The following is a 25,517-nucleotide window of genomic DNA, read 5'->3' as shown; positions in this document are numbered from 1 at the left end:
TCTCCATGGATTTGCCAGTTTGGGACATTTCATGCAGATGGAATCCTACAATGCGTGGCCTTTGTGCCCGGCGTCTTTCCCTGAGTATGATGTTCTCAAGCTCCATCCGTGGTGTAGCGCGTGTCGCTGCTTCACTCCTATTCGCGGCTGAATCATTGTCCATTTTATGGGTGGCCCACGTTTTGTTCATGCACTCCTCCATTCAGAGACGCACAGGTTGCTTCCATCTTTTGGCTATTGTGATAAATTTATTCACGTTATTATTACTATTTTGAGATGGGGTCTCACTCTGTCACCCAGGCTGGAGTACAGTGGTGTGATCTCGGCTCACTGAAACCCCCACCTCCCAGGTTCAAATGATTCTCCTGTCTCAGCCTCCCAAGTAGCTGGGACTACAGGCGAGCGCCACCACACCCGGCTAATTTTTGTATTTTTAGTAGAGATGGGGGTTTCACCATATTGGTCAGGCTGGTCTCGAACTCCTGACCTCAGGTGATCTACCCGCCTCAGCCTCCCAAAGTGCTGGGATTACAGGCGTGAGCCACCGCACCAGGCCAATTTATTCGTATTATGCCTCACTGACTACCTGTGGCCCCTCCTGGTCAAATGACGCTCAGTCCTCATGAGTATAATAGTCTGTTAAAAACCGAAAAAAGCACCCAGCGGGGGCAAAGCACAGCCCTCAGTGCCTAGCCAGTGCTTGGGACGTGTTTTTGAGTGAATGGATGAGGTGAGTGAGTAAAGGAGGCCTTGGGGTTCCATTGGGACCTGGCCTTTGAGAGTGCCCCAGGCCCCTGTGTCCCCACTGGCATGAGCTGAGCCCGGAGAGAGGGGTTGGAGGGAGTGCCTGCCACAGACGGAGCAGGAGCACCGGACTTGTTCTTGGCATTCACCCTGTCCCTGCCACGTCTCCTTGTGTCCCAGGTCATCAACTTCCCCTTCCCGACGCCCCCCTCCGTGGAAGCCCTTCTTGCCGCCGAGGAGCTGTTGATCGCACTGGGTGCCCTGCAACCGCCCCAGAAAGCAGAAAGGTAAGGCCAAGAGATGCAGAGCCCAGTTCCTGCCCCGTTCAGGGCCCTCTCTCCCTTTTGCTGGGCCTGAGCTGCCTCAAGCGTGGGGCCTCCCAGCTGTGGCTCCAGAGCTCCTCTCAGAGCACTGCCACCACCACCTCCATCTCCAGGGTGAAGCAACTGCAGGAGAACCGGCTGAGCTGCCCCATCACTGCGCTGGGCCGGACAATGGCCACATTCCCCGTGGCACCCCGCTACGCTAAGATGCTGGCACTGAGCCGACAACACGGCTGCCTGCCCTATGCCATCACCATCGTGGCCAGCATGACGGTGCGGGAGCTGTTTGAGGAGCTGGACAGGTGCGAGGTTGGCGGCTGGGCACTCAGGGCCAAGCTCAGTTCCGACGGGGGCTCTGGGCTGAGAGTCCCAGCTACTCAGGAGGCTGAGGTAGAAGAATCATTTGAACCCAGGAGGTAGAGGTTGCAGTGAGCTGAGATTGTGCAACTGCACTCTAGCCTGGGCAACAGAGTGAGACCCTTCTCTAAAAAAAGAAAAAGAAAAGTGACACTAAGACTGTGAAAGTATGTTGAAAGTATGTTTAGTGCATTGTGTATTTAACAAAATTTACTTATAGATTATGACTACATGCTAATTCTTAGAATGAACAATTATTTAATAATTTCCTGGCATCCTATTGCGTAGATCTGCCTTTGGCAGCTTAATGATAAAAGGGGTCATTTCTGCAGAGATTTCTGGAAGCAACTTGAGTTTCTCAAGGGCTTGGTAAGTCTTCAGCGTTCACATCATTCCTCCTGAAACCGCCTTTCACGCCATCAGTTTTGACCATCTCTCCCTCAGCTGTGAGCCAGGCTTCTGCTGCCACCATCTCTCGTCCACTGTGAATGGTACAGGCAGGCCCACAATGTCACTTCATCGACTCTGTGAGCCTCTGCATCTTGTGCAAAGCCTGCTGCTTCCCTTAGGGTCAATCTGCCTGTGTTTGGACCATCTTGTCAGATGACAGAGCAGACACTAGTTGGGAAGGCAGTTAGGTGGACACTGGGGAATCTGTTGAGATCTGGATGGTTTTTCTTTGTTTATCCTCCACCACCTCCCCTCCCCGGTCCCACCCACCCTAACCAGGAACTTTGCTTTAGGCCACATCACTGCATGGGCCATTCCATACCGCAGCCACTAACCACACGTGGCCTCAGCCTGTGAAATGTGGCAGTTACGGCAACAAACTGACTTAAAACCTTACTTATTTTTAATAGTTTAAATTTAAACAGCCACATGTGGCTAGTGGCCACTGTATTGGCCAGTGCAGTTCCAGACGTTTCCCTGTGCTCTGCACGGACAGAGTTTTAATTTGAGGAAATGAGATCAGATGGTCCTGTATCTTTTCAGGGTCAGTGCATCTGAACTTCAAAAGCAGCTTTAGCCGGGCATGGTGGCTCACGCCTGTAATCCCAGCACTTGGGAGGCCGAGGCAGGCAGATCACTTGAGAGGTCAGGAATTTGAGACCAGCCTGGCCAACATGGTGAAACCCTGTCTCTACTAAAAATCAAAAAGCGGGCATGGTGATGGACACCTGTAATCCCAGCTATTCGTCAGAATCCCTTGGGGGAGAATAATAGGGTTCTCTGGAGAAACAGAAAGTGGTGTCAGTTTCAGTTGGGGTCTGAAGGCCCAAGAACCAGGAGCATCGAGGGCAGGGAAGACCCAGCTCACGCAGTCAGCAGAGCCCGAAGTCACACCTCCTCTGCCTACTTGGGCCCTCAGTGGATCAGATGTGGCCCACACCCACATTGGGGGAGGGCAGTAGCTTTATGCCAGTCACCAATTCAAAGAAACACCCAGAAATAAGGCTTAATTAGCTATCTGGGCATCCCTTTGCCCAGTCAAGTGGACACATAATTAACCATTACATGTAAGGTCTTGAAAACCAGGTGTCTTGGCCTCTGCCCAGATCTCCTGGTCCCAGCATCTCTAAGACTCCCACGTGATGCTAGTGTCAAGGCTCTGTAGCGTGGTGACTGAGAGCTCAGGTATGGTTCGAATCTCTCTCTGCCATTCTGAGCTGTGTGACCTTAGGCAAGTGACTGTACCACTCTGAGCTTCATTTTCTCCATCTGGAAAATGGGGATGATGATAATGATAATAATTGGATTGTTGGTAGAATTAAATGAGTTAACACAAGCAAAGTGCTTTGAGCCGTGCCTGACACATATGTTAAGTGTTAGTATTATTTTCAGGTTTGGAAGCCACTGGCATCATTCATTTATTCAGTCCACCCTTGGCAGCTATTTAAGCAGTTTGCAGAGTTTTTTATTACCTAAAAATGGTGCAGTGGCCGGGCACGGTGGCTCATGCCTGTAATCCCAGCACTTTGGGAGGCCGAGACGGGCGGATCACGAAGTCAGGAGATCGAGACCATTCTGGCTAACACGGTGAAACTCTGTCTCTACTAAACAAAAAATGCAAAAACTTAGCCGGGCCTGGTGGTGGGCACCTGTAGTCCCAGCTACTCGGGAGGCTGAGTCAGGAGAATGGTGTGAACCCGGAAGGCGGAACTTGCAGTGAACCGAGATCACACCACACCACTGCACTGGGCGACAGAGCGAGACTCTGTCTCAAAAAAAAGAAAAAAAAAAGAACAACAGTGCAGCGGTGGCTGCCAATGGTGAATTTTGAGCTGGACCTTAATACCTTAATTACATTCATCAGTGACCCCACAAGGCCTCTGAGCCTGTCCCGATGAATAAAGGAGTTCCCCCCGCTGAGGCCCTGAGCGCAGCCGAGGCCCCAGCCCAGACAGTATGTATGTGTGTTTGCAGACCAGCGGCCAGTGACGAGGAGCTCACCAGGCTGAAGAGCAAGCGGGCCCGGGTGGCCCAGATGAAGAGGACCTGGGCAGGGCAGGGGGCTTCTCTGAAGCTCGGCGACCTCATGGTGCTGCTGGGTTTGTGCCCTGCCCGTTGGAGGGTGGCGGGAGGGTCACCCAGGTCTGGGATGGGTCAGAGAGAGAGCATGCCCCCTCTTCGTTCCCCAGGCGCCGTGGGAGCCTGTGAGTATGCCAGCTGCACACCCCAGTTTTGCGAAGCCAACGGGCTGCGGTACAAAGCCATGATGGAGATCCGGCGCCTGCGGGGCCAGCTGACCACCGCAGGTACGGCCCCGTGCCGGCACGCCGCTGCACCCGGCGGGCAACCTGACCTGGGCACTTGAAATGTTTAAAAAAGTGATCCATAGAGTCCACGTTTGCAAACTTGCTACGCACCAAAATGTATTTATAACCCTAAATCAATACTTGGGGAGCTTTTCCAGGAACAAGGGAATGTGCACATGAGCAGGGCACTAACAGATTCGAGCTGCCAGCCTGCACCCTCCCCCACCAGGTCGTCGCTCGGTTTCACCTTTTCCCTGGCGATACCCCCTGCCATTTTCCATCACCGCTGTGGCCTGGACCCCTCTTCCCTCCCACATGTCCCCCAGACCCTTCTCATGCAGAAGGATGAGGCCTTGCCCTGGACTCTACCTCAGCTCAGCAGCACAAATACTTCCTGCCACCAACACCCAGGGAAGCTTGAGAGGAAGGAAATGTCCTCCAACATATGGCAAGAGGACGATGCGTAGAGAGGGCAGCGTGGACACTGGGTCTCTTCTGGGCAGGCCACGTTCTTGCACCCAAGGCTAGTGGAGAATTTGCCTTCCATTTAAGCAGATCCCAAGGTTTGATGCCAGAATTGATGGCTCTCTTCCGGCCGATCCTTCTCCCAGCGCCAGGTGCATGGTGGTGGCCCTGTCACCATGCTCTGTGTCCTTCTGGCTGTGGCTTTCCAGAGCAGCCCCATTCCAGGTGCAGCAGCTTAGAATTGCAGTCAGCCTCCAGACAGTGCTGGTTACAGTGGCTTGGTGACATTAGACCTTTATTGTTGCAAGGAAGAGAAGTCACTTGAGTCAGCAGCCCAGGGCGTTTCTCTGCTGCCATCCTCCTGCCATTCGCTGTGCCTTCCATCCTAAGGTCACCTCTTGGGCTGAGGAGGTAGTTGGAGGCTTAGTCACCTCTGCCTTCCAGGCAAGAGAAGGGAAGGATGAGGCCAGGGCACCCGCCGGCTGTCCTGTTCCCGTATTGAACGTTCCCAGGAATTCCAGCCGCAACTTCCTTCTTCACATCATGGACCAGAACTGAGTCTGAGGCCACCTGGGTGTTAGGGGAGGGCTGTCTCCTCGAAGAATGCTCTGCTGCCCAGGCAGGATGTGGGGCTTTGTCCCAAGGGAGAAGGAGGGAATGGGGGGGCGGCTGCAATCCTGCCTGCTGGGGGCTTTGGGTCCTGCTGGTGGCCTCTGGGGAGGGGTTGAGACAAGCAGGTGGCTGAGGCTAGAGCACTGAGCATGGTTGGGACTTTCTAGGAGGTCAGGGCAGAGCTGGCTCCGGGCCTTGCCACCACCGACCTCACTCTTGGTTCTCCCCTCAGTCAATGCCGTGTGCCCCGAGGCTGAGCTCTTCGTGGATCCCAAGATGCAGCCGCCCACCGAGAGCCAGGTGACCTACCTGCGACAGATCGTGACGGCAGGCCTGGGGGACCACTTGGCCCGCAGGGTCCAGAGCGAGGAGATGCTGGAGGACAAGTGGAGGAACGCCTACAAGGTGCGGCCCCCACCGCCTCCCTGCCCGGGTAGCTTGGGGCACCTGGTGAGGGGCAGGCGGGCTGGGCCCTCAGGGTCTGGGGAGGCTTGTTCCCTCTCAGCTGTGGGTCCCCACTGAGGAACAAGTGGGGCTTGCAGTAGAATCACATCTTCCTTGGTTAGTTTCTCCCAACTTTTTTTTTTTAATAACAGTTTAGTGGAGATAAAATTCACACAGCATTTAAACTCTTTTGGGGTTTTTTGTGTTTTCTAGAAACAAGGTCTCGCTCTGTTGCCCAGGATAGAGTGCAGTGGCACAATCATAGCTCACTGCAGCCTCGAATTCCCAGGCACAAATAACCTTCTCGCCACAGCCTCCTGAGTAGTTGGGACTGCAGGGGGCACACCACCACCTCCGACTAATTTTGTTGTTGTTGTTTTCTTTTTTGAGACAGAGCCTCACTCTGTTGCCCAGATTAGAGTATAGTGGTGCGAACTCAGCTCACTGCAACCTCCACCTCCTGGGTTCCAGCAATTTTCCTGCCTCAGCCTCCCAAATAGCTAGGATTACAGGTGTGTGCCACCATGCCCAGCTAATTTTTGTATTTTTAGTAGAGAAGGGGTTTCACCATTTTGGCCAGGCTGGTCTTGAACTCCTGGCCTCAAGTGATCTGCCCACCTCGGCCTCCCAAAACGCTGGGCTTACAAGCAGTGTTACCCAGGCTAGTCTTGAACTCCTGGCCTCTAGGAATCCTTCCACCTTGGCCTCCCAAAGTGTTAGGATGACAAGTGTGACCCACTGCATCTGGCCTGCATTTAAACCCATTTAAAGTGTTCAATTCAGTGGGTTTTAGTATTTTCACAGAGTTTTGCAACCATTATCATAGTTAACTTTAGAACATTTTTATTACCCAACAAAGAAACCCCACATATGTAAGCTGTGAGTCCCCAGTTCCCCGTCACCCCCGTTTTCATGATCCTGCTTTCCATCTGTGGATCTGCCTGTTCTGGACATTTGGCATGAGTGGAATCTTAACATACATGGCTTTTCATGTCTGGCCTCTTGCACTTAGTGTGATGCTTTCAAGCCCCATCCACGCCATGGCAGGTGTCGGTGCTTCCTTTTTTTTTTTTTTTTGAGAAGGAGTTTTGCTCTTATTGCCCAAGCCGGAGTGCAATGGCGTGATCTCAGCTCACTGCAACCTCCACCTCCCGGGTTCAAGCAATTCTCCTGCCTCAGCCTCCCAAGTAGCTGGGATTACAGGTGTGTGCCACCATGCCCAGTTAATTTTTTGTATTTTTAGTAGAAATGGGGTTTCACCAACATGGTGAAACCAGCCAGGCTGGTCTCGAACTCTTGACCTCAGATGATCCACCCTCCTCGGCCTCCCAGAGTGTTGGGATTACAGGCGTGAGCCATTGCACCCGGCACTTCCTTCCTTTTCACGGCTGGATCAGACTCCAGCGTGTGGATGGGCCGCATTTCCCGGCAGATGGAGCACTCTCCCACTTTTGCGGCTGGAGTGGATAATCAGATTCTTCTCCTGGGTTGAAAGTATGCGGAGCCCCTGGGCATGGGTTCTTCCCTGACCACATCACTCTCCATTCTCTGCAGACCCCTCTCCTCGACGACCCTGTCTTCATCCACCCCAGCTCCGTCCTTTTCAAAGAGCTCCCCGAGTTTGTGGTCTACCAGGAAATCGTGGAGACCACTAAGATGTACATGAAAGGTGCCGAGGCCTGCGGACAGCCCCTTGTCCCCCGATGGTGACGCTAATGGGGGTGTGGCTGGGACCCTGGGGCAGAGGCATGGCAGCCCCTCCCACGGAGGGTGCCGCTGTAACCCCAGCTTCCTCCCCCGGCCCCCAGGCGTCTCTAGCGTGGAGGTCCAGTGGATCCCGGCCCTGCTGCCCTCTTACTGCCAGTTTGACAAGCCCCTGGAGGAACCAGCCCCTACATACTGCCCCGAGCGGGGGCGGGTGCTGTGTCACCGGGCCAGCGTGTTCTGTGAGTTGGGGCAGTGTCCTGGGCAACCTGAGCCTCCTGCAGCCGTGGGCTTCTCGGACACACGGTCCTGTCCCCTGCCCCCGGACGTGTGTGTCTCGGGTGGGGCAGGGATGGGACTCGGGAGGGCAGCTGCAGGAGGGTCCCTGTCTCACTGGCTCCCACCTTCTAGATCGCGTGGGCTGGCCGCTCCCCGCCATCGAGGTGGATTTTCCAGAGGGGATTGACCGCTACAAGCACTTTGCCCGGTTCCTGCTGGAAGGGCAGGTAGGTGGCACAGCGGCTCCAGACCCTCATCTCGGGTACCGTGGGCAGCAGCAGCCCGGGCCTCACCCCTTCCTGTGGTCTCTCATCAGGTCTTCCGCAAGCTGGCCTCATACCGGAGCTGTCTGCTGTCCAGCCCCGGCACCATGCTGAAGACGTGGGCCAGGTACTGCCTTCGGTGGGAGCCTCGCAGTGGGCAGGAGGGGTCCGAGGCCTGAATGACCTCCCCGGGGCTGCCAGGACAAAGCACCACACACAGGGAGGCTTAAAACATCAGAAGTCTGTGCTCAGGTCTGAAGGCTCTGCAGAGCCACGGTCTGTGCAGCGGCTCTCGGGGAGGGTCCGTCTTGCCTCTGTCGGCCTCCTGGGCTTGTGGCCACATCACTCCAGTCTCTGCCTCCATCTTCACGTGGCCATCTCTCTGTGTGTCTTTAGTCTCCCTCCCTGTGTTCTCCTTATAAGGACACCAGTCATTGTATTCAGGGCCCACCCTACTCCAGGATGACCTCTCCTTAACTCATGACATTTGCAGTGACCCTCTTTCCATATAAGGTCACACGCTGATGTTCTGGGTGGACATGAATATGGGATAGGGGAGACACTGGGCAGCTCCCACAGAGCCGCCAGGTGTCAGTGGGAGGCATCCTGCCCTCCTGGCCCTGGGGACTTCCTCCCAGCTAAGCAGACCCCTGCCCCATCCCGCCCACCACCTCTGCTTCAGGGCTCACCCTTGCCCTCTGCCTCCTGCTTCTGCTCTCCTCCTGCCTGTGGTCCAGACCCACAGACACCTCCCCCTTCCTGGGGCTGGTGGGGCCTATGGTGCAGGGGCTTGGGGCACTGGAGGCAGGCCTGAAGGTGCAGGCAGGTGCCAGGGACTCGAGATGGGGCGTGGGGCACAGCACCCGCTGCTGGGCTGTCAGGAGCCGTGTCAGTCACTCAGCTCACGTTTTCCAGTGTGGCCCTGTCCCAGGCATGTTCTCGGGGCTGGGATACAGACACGATCTCTGTCCCACAGCAGCGTTGCTCGGCCCCAGAGGGACAGAGCAGGACATGAGTGAGGCCTCGGTGGGCAGGGGGTGGAGTGCGACTGGGCTGGTCGGGGAGAGCCTCACTGGGCAGATTCAAAGGAGCCAGGGCTGCAGCTGGGCACAAATCTGGAGGAAGGTTCTAGATGAGACAAGTTGCATGCACAGAGCAGCCTTGGTGGGCAAGGAATGTGGACCAGAGGCAGCCAGGGTGGATGGGAGGAGGTGGGATCTAGAGCCTTCTGTCCCGGGATGATTAGGGGAAGGGGACCCTTTGCCTTCTCTTTTATTTTATTATTATTATTTATTTTTTAGAAGGCCTGTCTAGAGAATTATGTTTTTTTGCTTTTGAGTTTTGTTTGTTTGCTTGTTTGTTTGAGACAGAGTTTTGTTCTTGTTGCCCAGGCTGGAGTGCAATGGCGTGATCTTGGCTCACTGCAGCCTCTGCCTCCTGGGTTCAAGTGATTCTCCTGCCTCAGCCTCCTGAGTAGCTGGGATTACAGGTGACCGCCACCATGCCCGGCAAATATTTTTGGATTTTTAGTAGAGCTAGGGTTTCACCATGTTAGCCAGGCTGGTCTCGAACTCCTGGCCTCAGGTGATCCACCTGCCTCAGCTTCCCAAAGTGCTGGGATTACAGGCGTGAGCCACCACGCTCAGCCAGTTTGTTTGTTTTTGAGACAAGTTCTTGCCCTGTTGCCCAGGCTGGAGTGCAGTGGTGCAGTCATGGTTCACTGCAGCCTCCAACTCCCAGGCTCAAGGGATCCTCCTACTTCAGCCCCCTGAGTAACTGGGGCTACAGGTGCATGTCACCATGCCCAGCCAGCTCTTCACCCTCCTGGGTGGGGCTGGTGGGGTGGTGATGCCTGCCCTGCTTTCGGGCCCCCAGCAGCAGCCGGTCTGTGCCCTGGCTGCCTGCCACCAACGTGCATTCCTGCCCCACAGGCTGCAGCCCCGTACGGAGAGCCTTCTGCGAGCCCTGGTTGCAGAGAAGGCTGACTGCCATGAAGCCTTGCTGGCTGCTTGGAAGAAAAACCCCAAATGTGAGTTTGACCAGGGCCAGGGGGTGGGAGTAGACAGGATGGGGTCACTGAGGCAGGGGCTTTGTGCTTTGTGCACGGTCAGCCCTGGCTTGGCAGAAGGATCTGGCCCCACGGCTGCTGGCCAGCTTTTTGCCACCTGAGGAGAGTCCCTGGGCCCAGGGTCACCCTGACACTGTCCTCCTTCCCTCCCCTGCAGACCTGCTGGCTGAGTACTGTGAGTGGCTTCCACAGGCCATGCACCCCGATATCGAGAAAGCCTGGCCCCCCACCACTGTCCACTGACCAGAAACCTGGCTGCAGGGCCGAGGACTGGTTTGGGGACTGGAGGGCTGGCAGCAGCCTGTCACCGTGCGACCGTGACCACCTGGCATGGGCTTCGTGGCCTGCTCTCAGGAAGTGGGTCAAGCCCTGGGAACCCTCATCCATGAGAGCTCGATCCCGTATGAAGGGTGCTGCCGCCCGTGCCATCTGGCCCGGGGGTGACTTTTTGAACTGTTTATTATATGGTGGATGATGATTTCATCTCACGTGCTGGACGCTGTTCTGTTCAGTGTGCTCTTTGGACTACATTAGTCCCCTGTGGAGCAGCAGGGCTGGAGATCTCTGCAGTCCCTTCCCCGCCCGCCCTGCCAGAAGGCCGAGGAGGCACGTGGAGGGCCTCCTTCCTGCAATTCTTCCCTCTCCAGAGTCAGGGAGGGCTGCCCAGCCCTGGCCTCACAGCCGTCCCAGATGTTAGGTGAGCCACTGAGCTCTGTGTTGACCTTGAGGGGCCTGGCTGGGGGCCCCCAGGCTCCATGCCTTCTTGGGAGGGTGGCCGCCAACGCCTTTCCTGTGTTATGGCAACAGGGAGTGGGCATCTCATCTGCCTGTGGTCAGCTCTCAGACGGCAGGGAGCGGAGCTGACGTTGGCTGTGCTTGGTCACCGCTGCCATGCCGCAGAGGATGCGCCTAGCTGGGCTGGGGCCACACGACTATTATGTTGGCCTTGAACGGGGACTGCAGAGCCCTCAGTTTGTCTCCCTTGTTCCTCTGTGGCTGAGGTGGGAGGGGGAGGGTGGGGTAGGTCCCCCAGCAAGAAAGAGGGACAGGAGCACCCCAGGCAGGACCAAGGAGTCGGGAGGCCCCTGCCTTCTGTCCTCCATGGTGAGGGCACAGATGTCTCCCCAGAGCCCAGCGCTGGCAGAATGGATTCTGCTCCTGGCTTTGCTTCTGCGGCTTCGGTGGAGACAGTTATGGAATAAAATGTTCCTTGCACCCAGATTGTGTTGTGGAATGCACTTGGGGAAGGACACCCAGGTGGCCAGTGTGCTGTCCCGGGACGTGGCCTGGTGGCCGACCTGCCTTCCCAGCACTGCTGTCTGCTTTAAGGAGGCCTCTCCTCACTGGGTTTACTTACCTCCCTGGCTGCTCTCAAAGCCCAAGCAGCAACCTCTCCCCACCTGCCCCAGAGCCGAGATGGCAGCCCGGCCCTTCTCACTCTATGTTCCTCCCCAGGAGCCCAAGGCAGGGCCATGAGCCAGGGCAGCCTGCAGACACGTTTCGCTTGACCCGCCCGGTGATTGAGGAGGACTTGAACTCCTCACTAACATGTAGAATTGGGCTATTTCCCACTCGAAAGTACTGACCTCCAGCTTTCCTAAAATCCCACCGCACATGGGCTAGCAATTCTGAGATGAAAGCGGAAGCTGTCATTCCCACCAGTGTCTCAGGCGCCAGGGCAGCCTCCTCAGGGACGTCCCTGCCTCCTCATTGCACTCCACAACCACAGCAGAGCATCCACAGTTGTAATTAGGCAATTCTTCTTAAAAAATGTTATGTAATTAGCACACCATAAAATTCCCCATTTTAAGGTATACAGTTGCTTTTAGTGTATCACAGTTGTGCAACCGTTACCATGACCTGATTCCAGAGCATTTTTATAGCTCTAAAAAGATACCCTGTACCCATCAGCAGTCTGCCCCTATTTCTCCCAGTTCCCCAGCTCCAAGCCCCACGAATCCACTTTCTGTCTCTGGATTTGCCCGTTCTGGACATTTATCTCTTTTGCTGCTTTTGTTTGTTTGAGACGGAGTCTCGCTCTGTTACCAGGCTGGACTGCAGTGGCGCAATCTCGGCTCACTGCAACCTCTGCCTCCCAGGTTCAAGCGATTCTTCTGCTTCAGCCTCCCGAGTAGCCGGGACTATAGGCACATGCCACCACACCCAGCTAATTTTTGTATTTTTAGTAGAGACGGGGTTTCACCATGTTGGCCAGGATGGTCTCGAGCTCTTGACCTCGTGATCCACCTGCCTCCGCCTCCCAAAGTGCCGGGATTACAGGTGTGAGCCACCGCGCCTGGTTTGTTGCTTGTTTTTTCAAGAGGATCTTATTCTGTCATTCAGGCTGGAGTGCAGTGGTGCGATCCTAGTTCACTGCAGCCTCCATCTCCTGGGTTCAAGTGATCCTCCTACCTCCCAAATAGCTGGGACTACAGGCACACTCCACCATATTGGGCTAAAATTTTTAGTAGCGACAGCTCTTGCTATGTTGCCCAGGCTGGTCTTGAGCTCCTGAAGTACTTCATTCCTTCCTATGGCTGGATAATACCCCATTGTATGGATAGACCACATTTTTATTTGTTTCCGTCTTTTGGCTATTGTGAATAGAGCTGCTGTGAACATTGATGTACAGGTTTTTGTTTGTGTGGATGTATATTTTCCATTCTCTTGGGTATATACCTAAGAGTAAAAAAAAAAAAAAACCAAGAGCACCATTGCCTGGCCAATGTCATTTAGCTTTTCTTTTTTTTTTTTTTTGAGACAAAGTCTCAAAAAAAAAAAACTTTCATCCAATTTGAATTAATTTCTGCATATATGGTGTGGTCAGGTGGTCAACATTCTTTTGCATGTGGTTCTCAGTCCCATCGCCATTTGTCAAAGAGGCAGTTCTTTCCCCCCGAATGGTCTTGCGACCCTAAAAGACCCTCCCTACTGTCTCTAAAAGAGACATTATCTGTCACCCAGGCTGGAGTGCAGTGGCACAATCATAGTTCACTGCAACCTCGACCACCCAGGATCAAGCAATCCTCCCACCTCAACCTCCTGAGGAGCTGGGACTACAGGCGCACACCATCACACCAAGCTAATTTCAAAATTTGTGGTAGAAAGGGTTTCACTATATTGCCCAGGCTGGTCTTTTTTGGAGATGAAGTCTCAACTCTCACCCAGCTGGAGTGCAGTGGCACTATCTCAGCTCCCGGGTTCAAGTGATTTTCCTGCCTCAGCCTCCTCAGTAGCTGGGGCTACTGGCGCCCACCACCATGCCCAGCTAATTTTTGGTAGAGACAGGGTTTCACCATGTTGCCCAGGGTGGTCTCGAACTCCTGAGCTCAGGCAATACAGCTGCCTCAGCCTTCCAAAGTGCTAGGATTACAGGTGTGAGCCATTGTGTCCAGTCCCTGGATGGTCTTGAACTCCGTGGCTCAAGCAATCCTCCTGCATTGGCCTCCCAAAGTGCGGGAATTGCAGGCGTGAGCCACTGCACCTGGCCTGGCCCGTCCTTTTTATCAGCTGCAGAACATTTCACACTAGGTAGCGCTACCATTGTTTTTAAAATCAGTCCCAGCAATGGGTACTTCCTAACCTTGCTATAATGAGCAAAGATGTGTTGAGCATCTTTATAGACAAGTCATTTCATACCTGGGTGTATATCCACAAGACAAATGCCAAGAAGTGGGATTGCCAGGTCAAGAGACTTGGGGATTCTTCCCTTTGAAAAATGGTTAGGTGGCCGAGCGTGGTGGCTTACACCTGCAATCCCAGCATTTTGGGAGGCCAAGGTGGGTGGATCATTTTAGGGCACAAGTTTGAGGCCAGCCTGACCAACATGGTGAAACCCCATCTCTACTAAAAATACAAAAATTAGCCAGGCGTGGTGGTGGCTGCCTGTAATCCCAGCTACTCAGGAGGCTGAGGCAGATCCAGCCTGGCGACAGAGCGAGATTCCATCTCAAAAAAAAAAAAAGAAAGAAATGGATGAACCCTTCCGCAGGCAAGCACTGCCTTTTTCTTGCTTTCCTGGATGACAAGAGTGAAACTCCATCTCAAAAAAAAGATAAAAGAGAAATGGTTAGGTTGTCCTCTGTGAAAATCGTGTCCCAGATCAGATCACGTCACCAGCCTGCTTTATTTTTTGTTCGTTTTCTTTTTCTTTTTCTTTTTTTTTTTGAGACAGAGTTTCGCTCTTGGTGTCCAAGCAGGAGTGCAATGATGTGATCTCAGCTCACTGCAACCTCCACCTCCCAGGTTTAAGTGATTCTCCTGCCTCAGCCTCTCGAGTATCTAGGATTATAGGTGAGCGCCACCACACCCAGCTAATTTTTTGTATTTTTAGTAGAAACAGGGTTTCACCATGTTAGCCAGGCTTGTCTCGAACTCCTGACCTCAGGTGATATGCCCGCCTGGGCCTCCTAAAGTGCTGGGATTACAGGCGTGAACTACCACGCCCGGCCACTGCCCTGCTTTAAAGCCCTATGAAGAGTCCCCATTACCCAAGGGATCAAGGCCAACTCAAACGTGGCCTCTGAGACTGGACCTGCACGGACACTCCACTCACACCACACCCAAGGGCCAACCTGCTCTCCTTCCACCTTCCCCGAAGCAGCCCTGTTGGCCTCCGCAGGTGCCGTTCCCTCTCCTGTGGTGCTCTGAGCCTAACTCCTGCTCCCTCTGGTTTCTCATCTTCAGAGGCAAGCCCCTCTAGACGCCTCCCTAGGGAGGGTGGCCTGCCTGCCACCCACTCTGGACAGCAAGCCCAGTGACAGCAGATCTTCTGTCTTGCTTACCATCCTGGGTCCCCAAAACATGGTAGGGCAAATGTTAAAAAGTAAATTGCAGTGAATATTTGTAAGAACACTGGAAAAAGCTTCCAAATTAAACAAGGCCAGGCATGGTGGCTCATGCCTATAATCCCAGCACTTTGGGAGGCCAAGCCAGGCAGATCGCTTGAAGCCAGGAGTTCAGGACCAGCCTGGCCAACATGGTGAAACCCCGTCTCTACTAAAAATACAAAAATTAGCCAGTGTGGTGGCAGGCGCCCGTAATCCCAGCTACTTGGGAGGCTGAGGCAGAAGAATCACTTGAACCCGGAAGACAGATGTTGCAGCGAGCCAAGATCGTGCCACTGCACTCCAGCCTGGGCGACAGAGTGAGACCCTGTCTCTCTCAAAAAACAAAGCAAAACAAACAAAAACAAAGTTAAACAAACTTCCCAGAAACTATAAAGGAAAGGGGAGACATTTTACCTTATCGAAATCTTACATTGACATGGTAAATTGTATAAACAAAGTTAGAAGATGAAAGAATAGATGAAAAATACTGCAAAACATGATAAACAGCGTCATACTATTGGATGAGCTATTGCAATTTGGTGAGAAAAACACAACGGGCAAAGGCCATGAAAAAATTAGTTGCTACATCTAGGCCGGGCGTGGTGGTTCATGCATGCCTGTAATCCCAGCACTTTGGGAGGCCGAGGCTGGCAGATCACGAGGTCAGACAAGATCAGGAGTTCGAGACCAGCCTGGCCAACATGGTGAAACCCCGTCTCTACTAAAAATGCAAAAATTAGCCAGGCGTGGTGGCAAGCGCCTGTAATCCCAGCTACTCGGGAGGCTGAGGCAGGAGAATCACTTGAAACCAGAAGGCAGAGGTTGCAGTGAGCCGAGATTGTGCCACTGCACTCCAGCCTGGGCAACAAGAGCTAAACTCTCTCTCAAAAAAACAAACAAACAAAAAAAAACTGCATCTAAGGTCGAGTGCAGTGGCTCACACCTATAATCCCAGCACTTTGGGAGGCCGAGGCAAATAAATCACCTGAGGCCAGGAGTTCGAGACCAACCTGGCCAACATGGCCAAACACCGTCTTGAATGAAAAAATACAAAAATTAGCCAGGCATGGTGGCGCGCACCGGTAATACCAGCTACTCGAGGGCCTGAGGAATGAGAATCATTTGAACCCAGGAAGTGGAGGTTGTGGAGATTTGAGATCAACCACTGCACTCCAGCCTGGATGACAGAGTGAGATTCCCATCTGGAAAAAAAAACACAAAAACCTGCATCTGCATGGCTGGTAGATACCTGAAAACATGCACACCCTAGAAAGTAGGCAGGAAAAAAGCAGAGAAATAATTCAGTTCTACTTCCTACCCAACAGATTGGAAAAATTAATAATCATGGCCATACCCAGTGCTGAGAATATAAGGAAAAGAGCACCTTCATACATTGTTATTGAATATGTAAGTTGCCACAGCCTTTAGAAAAAAATCCAGCAATATTTATTGTTTTTATTTATTTTTTTTTTCTGAGACAGAGTCTTGCTCTGTTGCCCAGGCTGGAGTGTAGTGGTGCAATCTCTGCTCACTGCAACCTCTGCCTCCTGGGTTCAAGTGATTCTCCTGCCTCAGCCTCCTGAGTAGCTGAGACTACAAGTGTGTGCCACCACACCCAGCTAATTTTTTATATTTTTAGTAGAGATGAAGTTTCACCATGTTGGCCAGGCTGGTCTCAAACTCCTGACCTCAGGTGATCTGCCCACCTCGCCCTTCCAAAGGGCTGGGATTACAAGTGTGAGCCACCATGCCTGGCCCAAAATCTAGCAATATTTAAAATAAACCAGGCATGGTGTTTATGCGTGTAATCCCAGCACTTTGGAAGGCTGAGGTGAGAGGATCACTTGAGGCCAGATGTTCGAGACCAGCCTGGACAACATAGCGAGACCCCTGTCTCTACAAAAAAAAAAAAAAGAAAAATATTTGCTGGAGGTGGTGAAGTATACCTGTAGTCTCAGCTTTTGGGGAGGCTGGGAGGTCTCTTGAGCCAAGGATTTCGAGGCTGCAGTGAGCTATGATCGCACCACTGCATTCCAGCCTGGGCGACAGAGAAGTACGTTTGTAAAAGTATCCATGCCCTTTGACCCTGCATTGCTCCCTGTGGACATCTGCCCCATCGAGGTACCGGCGCCAGAAGGCAAGGAAAACGCATGCACCAGATCACTGACTACAAGACTTCAGTGAGAGGAAACAAAATTACCCGAATCCCTAGGAGGAATGGTAATAAAGCGTGCTACCCCTCCGTTAGGAAATACTATGCAACCACGTCCAGCATTTGTCCTGAACTCCATCAGGCTCGCACTTCCTCTGCAGCACCCCTGGAGGAAGTCTCCAGCAGCTTCCTGGGCGGTGGCTGCACCTCCTTCCCGATCTCCCCACGTCCACCCACGCCCAGGGTGTGTTCTCCGCATGGCAGCCAGAGGGAGCCTTTTCAAACCTGAATCTGGTCGCGTTCCCCTGCGTCAGGCCTTCCAGTGTCTTCGAAGATAAAGTTCATCCTCATTCACTAAGCTCCAGGGCATGGCTTTCTTCCTGCCCCTTCAACACTGAGCGCCCTTCCTCCAGCCTCAGGGCCTTGGCACCTGCCGTTTCCTTCGCTGGAAGCACTGTTTCTGCAGAGGTCTCCCCTGGCAGCTAATCTAAAGCAACCCCCACTCCTGCACCCCTGAGTTTCCATCTCATCGCTATTATTGTCTTCATAAAACGTATCGCTACTTGCTTATTGTTAAGTCTCCAGGACTGGACTATAAAGTCCAAAAAGGCTGAGAAAGCTTGCCTGGCCTGTCTTATCCAGGGATACCAGGGGACGTACACTTTACCCGGCACACAGTAGGTGCTCAGTGCATGCACGGAACCTGACATGAGGCCCTCAGGAGTTAATGAATGGTCAGTTGCAGAACCTTTCTAAGGAATCCATGTTTTTCTATCTGCTTGATGAAACAAATAACTGGGAGTATTCGTTTCAAATGGCAGATTCCCGGCCCCGTCACTGACCTACTGAACGCGAATCTCCGGTGGAGGGGCCCAGGGCATTTGTGATTAGGGGCAGGGAAATGTGCTGGCGCAGCCCCTTCCAAGGGAGCTTTCTTCGCAGGCAGGTTGTTGAGGGTTGCCTGGGTCCTCTTCCAAGCTTTTGTAACCACGTGACTGTAATTTGCCCGAAAAAGGCGGAAAAGTCTGGAGATGCCGGGGATTGAACCCGGGGCCTCATACGTGCAAAGCATGCGCTCTACCACTGAGCTACATCCCCTACCCCTTGTGTTGGTCTTTTCTGGGGATGGTGATACAGGAAGTGCCCTTCGCTCTGCTAGTTCAGGTGCCTTAGCTTCGGAACGTGCAGTGCCTCCAGCCACTCAAAGGGGCCTCTACCCGCCTTGGATAAGCCCAGCAGCCAGGGTGCCCGGCGCGGAGCCTGGATGGCCCGGAAAGGTTAGGAACGATAGCGAGAGAATGGTATGGACATAAGAAGGGAGCTGCAGGGAACACAGTACGGCTTGTCCTCGTTAGTATAGTGGTGAGTATCCCCGCCTGTCACGCGGGAGACCGGGGTTCGATTCCCCGACGGGGAGGCCGGGTACTTTCGTATTTTTAAATACAGAGGGGAGACTTTGTTGGCGATGCTTTTCGGTGTTCCAAAATATACAGAGTAGGTATAAGAGGATGTGCACATCGCAGGTGTGCCTGCAACACTGAATTAGGGCCCTTACGAGGGTTCCTTCCCCTCCAAGGAGAGTTCGAGGGAAGAAAAAACAGGGTGCTCGGCAGTGAGCATAATAGGTTCATTTTTATGTCAAAAAATTATAGATATGCACACAAATGTGTGAGTATATTAATGTTTCTGATTGGCATCACGGTAACAACAGCAGCAGGAGCAGCAGCCAACAATATACAGTTCTTAACGTGCGGGGGCGGTATTGGTAAGCGCTTTAGTGTTCACGCATTACATCCTCAAGGATCCTACCAACGAGCCGTTTTCTCCACATCAAACTGATGAAATACAGGCTCAGACAGAGGCTCCGTGGCCCGCCCGCGGTCACATCAGTCACGATCAACTGTAGACATAGGGGGCCTTTGGGGAGAAGGACTCGGGTGGTGGGTGGGAGGAGTGACTTTTTGACTTTCCATTTCTGTACCTTTCTGGACTTTTGGAATTCTATTTTTTTCTCCCTTCTTTTCTTTCCTTTCCTCTCTTATTCGATTTTTATCAAAATGATACGTCTAATTTTTAAAAGTCAGATACAACTGAAGAATATTTATTCCTTATGCATGAGGTCCCTATTGCTGTGTTTTGACTTCATTGGCTGCAGCCAGACCTCACAATTTAAACTAAAACCCGATTAGCTAACAGTTCAAAAATTTTTTAAATAGGTAAAAGCAGTGAGGAACATAGGAAAAAAGGATGTTCCTTACGAAAGGACTTAGAAAAGTAATAATATTCCTAAATAAGGAAGAGTGTAGGCTGCAAGCTGGGACATGCCTGGGCACGTCCAGCACGAATATTTTGACAAAGGTACAAGGACATAGAATGTACTACGTGCCTGTGAGCATGTTTAGCACAGATACCGAAGTCAGAGTGTGCTTATTCTGTTACATTTGCTACCTAAGGCTTAACAGAGAGTTATTACTATAAAATAAGAAATTTGAAGAAAGTTAGTTCTGAGAAAAGATATTAATAACATTTATGATTTAAAGGGGAAGCTTTGAAGAGGAACTTTTGCTTTCTACATTTCCTTCCCTTTTAATTTTTATAATTTTTCCTTTTTAAACTGTTTTAGCATGTTTTGGCTTAATTGTTCTACTTGAGCTTTTAAGAGGAGAAATCTCTTAGAATAAGGTGGAGGAGAGTTAAGATAGGTTTTAGTAGTTTTGGTAAGAACTGTCGTTATTAATTTTGTCATTAGCTTCCAGAGGCATGGTATAACATCCGAGAAGGAGAAGTGTACCTATTACGGTAGTAATAGAAGTGAGAATTGAGGTTATAGTTTCCTTCCGTTGACCAAACCATCGTCCTAGCCAATTTGAAATAGGGTTATTAATTCTAGAATTTCTAGTAAGCTCTTTAGATAAAGCAGTGAGACCTTGTAAGGTTCTGGTTATACTTCTGTTAGGAGTCGTGTTATTTGGGATGAAGGTTGTACACAACATTGGGTTTTAATTATAACACAAACACCACCTTTCTCGGCTAATACTACATTTAAAGCCATTTTATTTTCCTAAGCCATTTTAGTAGTGGATCCTAACTGTTCTGCTATTCCTTTAATAGCATCTTTAAGTATAGTTAATAAATTGTTGTTGATAGTAATAAATATTGTTTATCCAATTTACATTCTTATTAATTGTTATTTGTGGGAGAAGGGATTTGAACCTCACAGCTCTCTGATTTCTAGCTTTGAATTTATCTGATATACCTCGTGGAACGTCAGTTGTATCTAAATAAACATGGGGGTCAAAGGACCTACGAGAGGCTTCTCTTGTTTTACGATGTCATGTTTTTTTGTTTGTTTGTTTTTCTGGTTGATGAAATGCCAGGGTAAAAGGGATAGCTAACTGAACTAGAGCACAAGTACCGCTCCAATTATTTGGCAAAGTGTCCAGTAAAGGTTCTCCAAAATACCACCATACACCCACTCGGGGATGAATAAGGGCTGACTGATGGGTCAGCTCTTGGAAGTGCCTGACCTCACTGCATTCTGTTAAGTTTCTTTCTTTCTTTCTTTCTTTTTTTTTTTCCTCTTTTTGAGAGGGAGTCTAGCACTGTCGCCCAGTCTGGAGTGCAGTGGCGCGATCTCAGCTCACTACAAGCTCCACCTCCCAGGTTCACGCCATTCTCCTGGCTCAGCCTCCCTAGTAGCTGGGACTACAGGCGCCCGCCACCACGCCCGGCTAATTTTTTTGTATTTTTAGTAGAGCCGGGGTTTCACCGTGTTAGCCAGGATGGTCTCGATCTCGTGACCTCGTGATGCGCCTGCCTCGGCCTCCCAAAGTGCTGGGATTACAGGCGTGAGTCACCGCGCCCGGCCGTTTCCTTGACTTTTAAAAGAAAAATTAGGTTGGTGTCCTGGAACATGGACAATGGCTATTTCTTCCGGTAATTGAAGATTATTAAGAACATGAACAACTAGTGTTTCATGAGCAAGTTCCTTACCTTTACTGTTAAATAGTTCTCGCTCAGCCTAAATTTTTCCAAATGTATGAGATACTCTGAAAGCATATTTAGAGTCAGTATAGATAGTTCCTACCTGGTTCTGTAAATATTTTAGGGCCTAAGTGCGAATAACTTGCAAGCTTGAGCAGACCAATTATTTGGTAATCTTCCTGATTTTACTTTTTTTAAGGTCTCTTTATCAATTACAGCATATCCATTATGTTGTGTCCTTTCAATCATTTAGGAGGAGCCAGGGTGGTCTCAAACTCCTGAGCTCAAGCAATCCCCGCGCCTTAGCCTCCCAAAGTGTTACGATTACAGGTGTGAGCCACCTCACCCAGCCTAATATCTTTATTATAGAAATAATTTTTTAAATCACTAAGAAAAATTCAAAAATATCAATAGATCACAATCAACAGGCAATGAATTTACAGAAGAGGAAAAATGATTCATTAATAAAACTTACAGAAAAGCTTGGCTCTTAGAAGTATTTAAATAAATGGAAGTAAAACACAAGTTACTACTTTCAACCCATGATGTTGTGAAAGTTGTCAGAATCAAAATGAAGTCATGGATGTTAAGTAAGTAAATAAATAAATAAATAAACCCTGACAAATAGAACCAGGGAAGGCCATGAAGAGAGGGTTCCCGTGCTTGCAGGCCTGATAAAAGACTCTAGAAAAACCACAACCTTGCACAAACGCCTTCGCGACCTTACACAAAAAAGACTACTGCAAGGACATCCGCCAAGCAGCTGCCTGTCCAGCCTCAGACTACGGTCACCTCTGTTATTGATCTTTGCAGCCAACCATAATTATGTCAGAACAATTATGTAATCCTCCTCCTTTTTTTCCTGTAAAAACATTTGTCTTCCTGCCGGGCGCGGTGTCTCACGCCTGTAATCCCAGCACTATAGGAGGCCGAGGCGGGAGGATCACGAGGTCAGGAGTTCGAGACCAGCCTGGCCAACATGGTGAAGCCCCGTCTCAACTAAACATACAAACATTAGCTGGGCATGGTGGCGGGCGCCTGTAGTCCCAGCTACTAGGGAGGCTGAGGCAGGAGAATTGCTTGAACCCAGGAGGCGGAGGTTACAGTGAGCCAAGATTGCACCACTGCACTACCAGCCTGGGTGACAGGGAGAGACTCCATCTCAAAACAAACAAACAAACAAATGTTGCCTTCTTTCTGCCTCCGCTACCGCCATGGCGCCCATGAAAAAGCTTGTGGTAAAGGAGGGCTAAAAAAAAGGAAGCAGGTTCCAAAGTTCACTCTTGATCGCACCCACCCCGTAGAAGATGGAATCATGGATGCTGCCAACTTTGAGCAGTTTTTCCAAGAAAGGATCAAAATGAACGGAAAAGCTGGGAACTTTGGTGGAGGGGTAGTGACCATCGAAGGGAGCAAGAGCAAGACCAGCGTGACATCCAAGCTGCCCTTTTCCAACAGGTATTTGAAATATCTCACCAAAAAATATCTGAAGAAGAATAATCTACATGATTGGTTGCGCGTAGTTGCTAACAGCAAACAGAGTTACGAATTACGTTACTTCCAAATTAACCAGGACGAAGAGGAGGAAAACGAGGATTAAATTTCATTTATCGGCCGGGCGCGGTGGCTCACGCCTGTAATCCCAGCACTTTGGGAGGCCGAAGCAGGTGGATCACGAGGTCAGAAGTTCGAGATCAGTCTGGCCAACATGGTGAAAACCCTGTCTCTACTAAAGATACAAAAAATTAGCCGGGTGTAGTGGCGTGCGCTTGTAATCCCAGCTACTCGGGAGGCTGAAGCAGGAGAATTGCTTGAACCTGGGAGGCGGATGTTCCACCGAGCCGAGATCACGCCATTGCACTCCAGCTTGGGTAACAAGTTGAGACTCCATCAAAAAAAAAAAAAAGGAAAAAGAAAAGAAAGAAAATGTTTGGAGTGAGATAGAGATGGGGGTTGCACAACAGTGCGAATGCACCAAATGCCACTGAATTGCTCACTGTAAAAGAGTTGGCTTTGGCCAGGGGCAGTGGCTCACACCTGTAATCCCAGCACTTTGGGAGGCCCAGGCGGGCGGATCACCTGAGGTCAGTAGCTCGAAACCAGCCTGACCAACATGGAGAAACCCCCATCTCTACTAAAAATAAAAATACAAAATTAGCCGGGCGTGGTTGTGCATCCCTGTAATCCCAGCTACTTGTGAGGCTGAGGCAGGAGAATCGCTTGAACCCGGAGACAGAGATTGCTGTGAGCCGAGGTCGCGCCATTGCACTCCAGCCTGGACAACAAGAGCGAAACTCCGTCTCAAAAAAACAAAAACAAAACAAAACAAAAAAAAAACAAAAAAAAACACACAAAAATATATAAAAATAAAATAAAATGGTTGGTTTGGGCCGGGTGCAGTGGCTCACGCCTATAATTCCAGCACTTGGTAAGGCTGAAGCAGGGAGATCACTTGAGGTAAAGAGTTCGAGACCAGCCTGGCCTCTACTAAAAAGCTCATCTGTACTAAAAATTAAAAAATTGGCCAGACATGGTGGCGTGTGCCTGTAATCTCAACTATTCGGAAGTCTGAGGCAGGAGAATCGCTTGAACCTGGGAGGCCGAGGCTGCAGTGAGCTGAGACTATGCCACTGCACTCCAGTCTAGGCGACAGAGAGACTCCATCTCAAAAAAAGAAAATAAATAAAATAATTGGTTTTGGCCAGGCGCATTGATTCATGCCTGTAATTGCCGCACTTTGGGAAGCCAAGGCGAGGGGATTGCTTGAGGCCAGGAGTTTGAGATATAGTGAGAACCCGATCTCTAAAGCTAGTTTTATGTTATGTGAGTTTCACCTCAATACAAAACAAACAAACAAAAACATTTACTTTTAAGAATGACCGGCCGGGCGTAGTGGCTCACGCCCGTAATCCCAGCACTTTGGGAGGCGGAGGCAATCAGATCACCTGAGGTCAGGAGTTTGAGACCATCCTGGCCAACATGAAACCCTGTCTCTACTAAAAATACAAATAAAACAATTAGCTAGGTGGAAATTAGATGGGTGGCCTGCAGTCCCAGCTACTTAGGAGGCTGAGGCAGGAGAATCTCTTGAACCTGGGAGGCAGAGGTTGCAGTGAGCCGAGATCACGCCACTGCACTCCAGCCTGGTGACAGAGCGAGACTCCGTCTCAAAAAAAAAAAAAAGACTAAGCCTAAGCCATGTTTGGAGAAGACAAGAATGGAATGGGAAGGATGGAGCTATAAATGGCTTCAGCCTTTTCAGAAACTGCTTCCAGATCCCACACTCGGACTTCATAATCTATATATGGAATTTTGCCTTTAGTGAACAAATCTTAAATACAAAAGGAAAAACCTATGCAGAAACAACCTAAATAGCCACAGATCAGAAGATAGTTAAATGAATTGCTCTATATCAGGTGATGAATAGCACGTGCCAATTTAAACTGATGTGAATTTTTTTTGTTTTGTTTTTTTTGAGACAGAGTCTCGCTCTGTCGCCCAGGCTGGAGTGCAGTGGCATGATCTTGGCTCACTGCAAGCTCCGCCTCCCAGGTTCACGCCATTCTCCTGCCTCAGCCTCCCGAGTAGCTGGGACTACAGGCACCCGCCACCACGTCCAGCTAATTTTTTTGTGTTTTTTAGTAGAGACGGGTTTCACCGTGTTAGCCAGGATGGTCTCGATCTCCTGACCTCGTGATCTGCCCGCCTCGGCCTCCCAAAGTGCTGGGATTACAGGCCTGAGCTGCCGCACCGGGCCAAACTAATGTGAATTCTTTTAAAATGCCTCTAAATGGTGTCGGGCATGGTGGCTCAAGCCTGTAATCCCAGCACCTTGGGAGCCGTAGGCAGCGGGCGGGCGGGAATCACCTGAGGTCAGGTGTTCAAGACCAGCCTGGTCAACGTGATGAAACCCCGTCTCTACTAAAAATACAAAAATTAGCCTGGCGTGCTGACGGGCACCTGTAATCCCAGCTACTCGGGTGGCTGAGGCAGGAGAATTGCTTGAAACCGGAAGGCGGAGGTTGCAGTGAGCGGAGATCGTGCCACTGCACTCTAGCCTGGGCGACAAGAGGGAAACTCCATCTCAAAAATAAAAATAAAGCCTCTAAATGTTTAATTTTTTTCTTAACACATGGAATTGATTACAAACTAATTTGTCTCATGGGGTGAAAAAACATTTATCTTTTTTTTTTTTTTTTTTTTTTTGAGATGGAGTTTCACTCTTGTCGCCCAGCCTGGAGTGCAATGGCGTGATCTCCTGCCTCAGCCTCCCGATAGCTGGGATTACAGGCATGCGCCACCACGCCTGGCTAATTTTGTATTTTTAGTAGAGACGGGGTTTCTCCATATTGGTCAGGCTGATCTCGAACTCTGGACCTCAGTTAATCCACCCCGTCTCAGCCTCCCAAAGTGCTGGGATTACAGGCGTGAGCCACCGCGCCCAGCCCCAAAACAGTTATCTTAAGTTCAGTAATTCCTTCCATTTCATTTCTGATTTCTTATTCTCTTGTGAAACTAAAATTGATGTTGCTGCCTT

The 25,517-nt window shown here is 50.8% G+C and overlaps 1 protein-coding gene, 2 non-coding genes and 1 pseudogene across 7 annotated transcripts in view, besides 5 other annotated features; 3 read left to right on the top strand and 1 right to left on the bottom strand.

Annotated features, from left to right (window-relative positions):
- DHX37 (DEAH-box helicase 37) overlaps nt 1-11,234 on the top strand; it is a 42,306-nt gene extending 31,072 nt beyond the window's left edge. The window contains exons 17-27 of one of the 5 annotated variants that reach the window (NM_032656.4): nt 925-1,031; nt 1,181-1,369; nt 3,849-3,973; nt 4,064-4,180; nt 5,490-5,662; nt 7,256-7,370; nt 7,510-7,647; nt 7,817-7,911; nt 8,001-8,074; nt 9,879-9,976; nt 10,173-11,234. In NM_032656.4, coding sequence (NP_116045.2) covers nt 925-1,031; nt 1,181-1,369; nt 3,849-3,973; nt 4,064-4,180; nt 5,490-5,662; nt 7,256-7,370; nt 7,510-7,647; nt 7,817-7,911; nt 8,001-8,074; nt 9,879-9,976; nt 10,173-10,258 — 1,317 coding nt within the window. In that variant the 3' untranslated portion in view covers nt 10,259-11,234. Of the gene's footprint in view, nt 1-924; nt 1,032-1,180; nt 1,370-3,848; nt 3,974-4,063; nt 4,181-5,089; nt 5,247-5,489; nt 5,663-7,255; nt 7,408-7,509; nt 7,648-7,816; nt 7,912-8,000; nt 8,075-9,878; nt 10,152-10,172 lie in introns of those variants that run through there. The other 4 variants (XM_005253590.4, XM_047429218.1, XM_011538600.3 and 1 more) reach the window with 4 other exon arrangements.
- Nucleotides 14,590-15,091: an enhancer, noted in NCBI's record as "H3K4me1 hESC enhancer chr12:125427515-125428016 (GRCh37/hg19 assembly coordinates)". NCBI's record gives its function as "activates a minimal SCP1, AML or CMV promoter by ChIP-STARR-seq in primed H9 embryonic stem cells {active_cell/tissue: H9 hESC(primed)}" and the evidence as "EXISTENCE:reporter gene assay evidence [ECO:0000049][PMID:30033119]".
- On the bottom strand, nt 18,023-18,094 carry TRA-TGC4-1 (tRNA-Ala (anticodon TGC) 4-1). Its single transcript has one exon. It is a non-coding gene; the product is annotated as a tRNA-Ala (tRNA).
- Nucleotides 18,300-18,379: a silencer, noted in NCBI's record as "silent region_5072". NCBI's record gives its function as "represses an Ori minimal core promoter by ATAC-STARR-seq in GM12878 lymphoblastoid cells {active_cell/tissue: GM12878}" and the evidence as "EXISTENCE:reporter gene assay evidence [ECO:0000049][PMID:35858748]".
- On the top strand, nt 18,342-18,413 carry TRD-GTC2-10 (tRNA-Asp (anticodon GTC) 2-10). The gene has a single exon. It is a non-coding gene; the product is annotated as a tRNA-Asp (tRNA).
- Nucleotides 18,560-18,799: an enhancer, noted in NCBI's record as "active region_7318". NCBI's record gives its function as "activates an Ori minimal core promoter by ATAC-STARR-seq in GM12878 lymphoblastoid cells {active_cell/tissue: GM12878}" and the evidence as "EXISTENCE:reporter gene assay evidence [ECO:0000049][PMID:35858748]".
- Nucleotides 18,838-20,037: an enhancer, noted in NCBI's record as "MED14-independent group 3 enhancer chr12:125422569-125423768 (GRCh37/hg19 assembly coordinates)". NCBI's record gives its function as "activates an origin of replication core promoter dependent on BRD2, BRD4, P300/CBP and CDK7 cofactors, and independent of MED14, by STARR-seq in HCT116 cells {active_cell/tissue: HCT116}" and the evidence as "EXISTENCE:reporter gene assay evidence [ECO:0000049][PMID:35650434]".
- Nucleotides 19,080-19,349: an enhancer, noted in NCBI's record as "active region_7317". NCBI's record gives its function as "activates an Ori minimal core promoter by ATAC-STARR-seq in GM12878 lymphoblastoid cells {active_cell/tissue: GM12878}" and the evidence as "EXISTENCE:reporter gene assay evidence [ECO:0000049][PMID:35858748]".
- On the top strand, nt 22,174-22,592 carry RPL22P19 (ribosomal protein L22 pseudogene 19; annotated as a pseudogene).

This window comes from Homo sapiens, chromosome 12, assembly GCF_000001405.40.
Source record: "Homo sapiens chromosome 12, GRCh38.p14 Primary Assembly".
NCBI lineage: Eukaryota > Metazoa > Chordata > Mammalia > Primates > Hominidae > Homo > Homo sapiens.
Note: the sequence above shows the minus strand (reverse complement) of the source record. Positions and strands in the feature narration are given on the sequence as shown.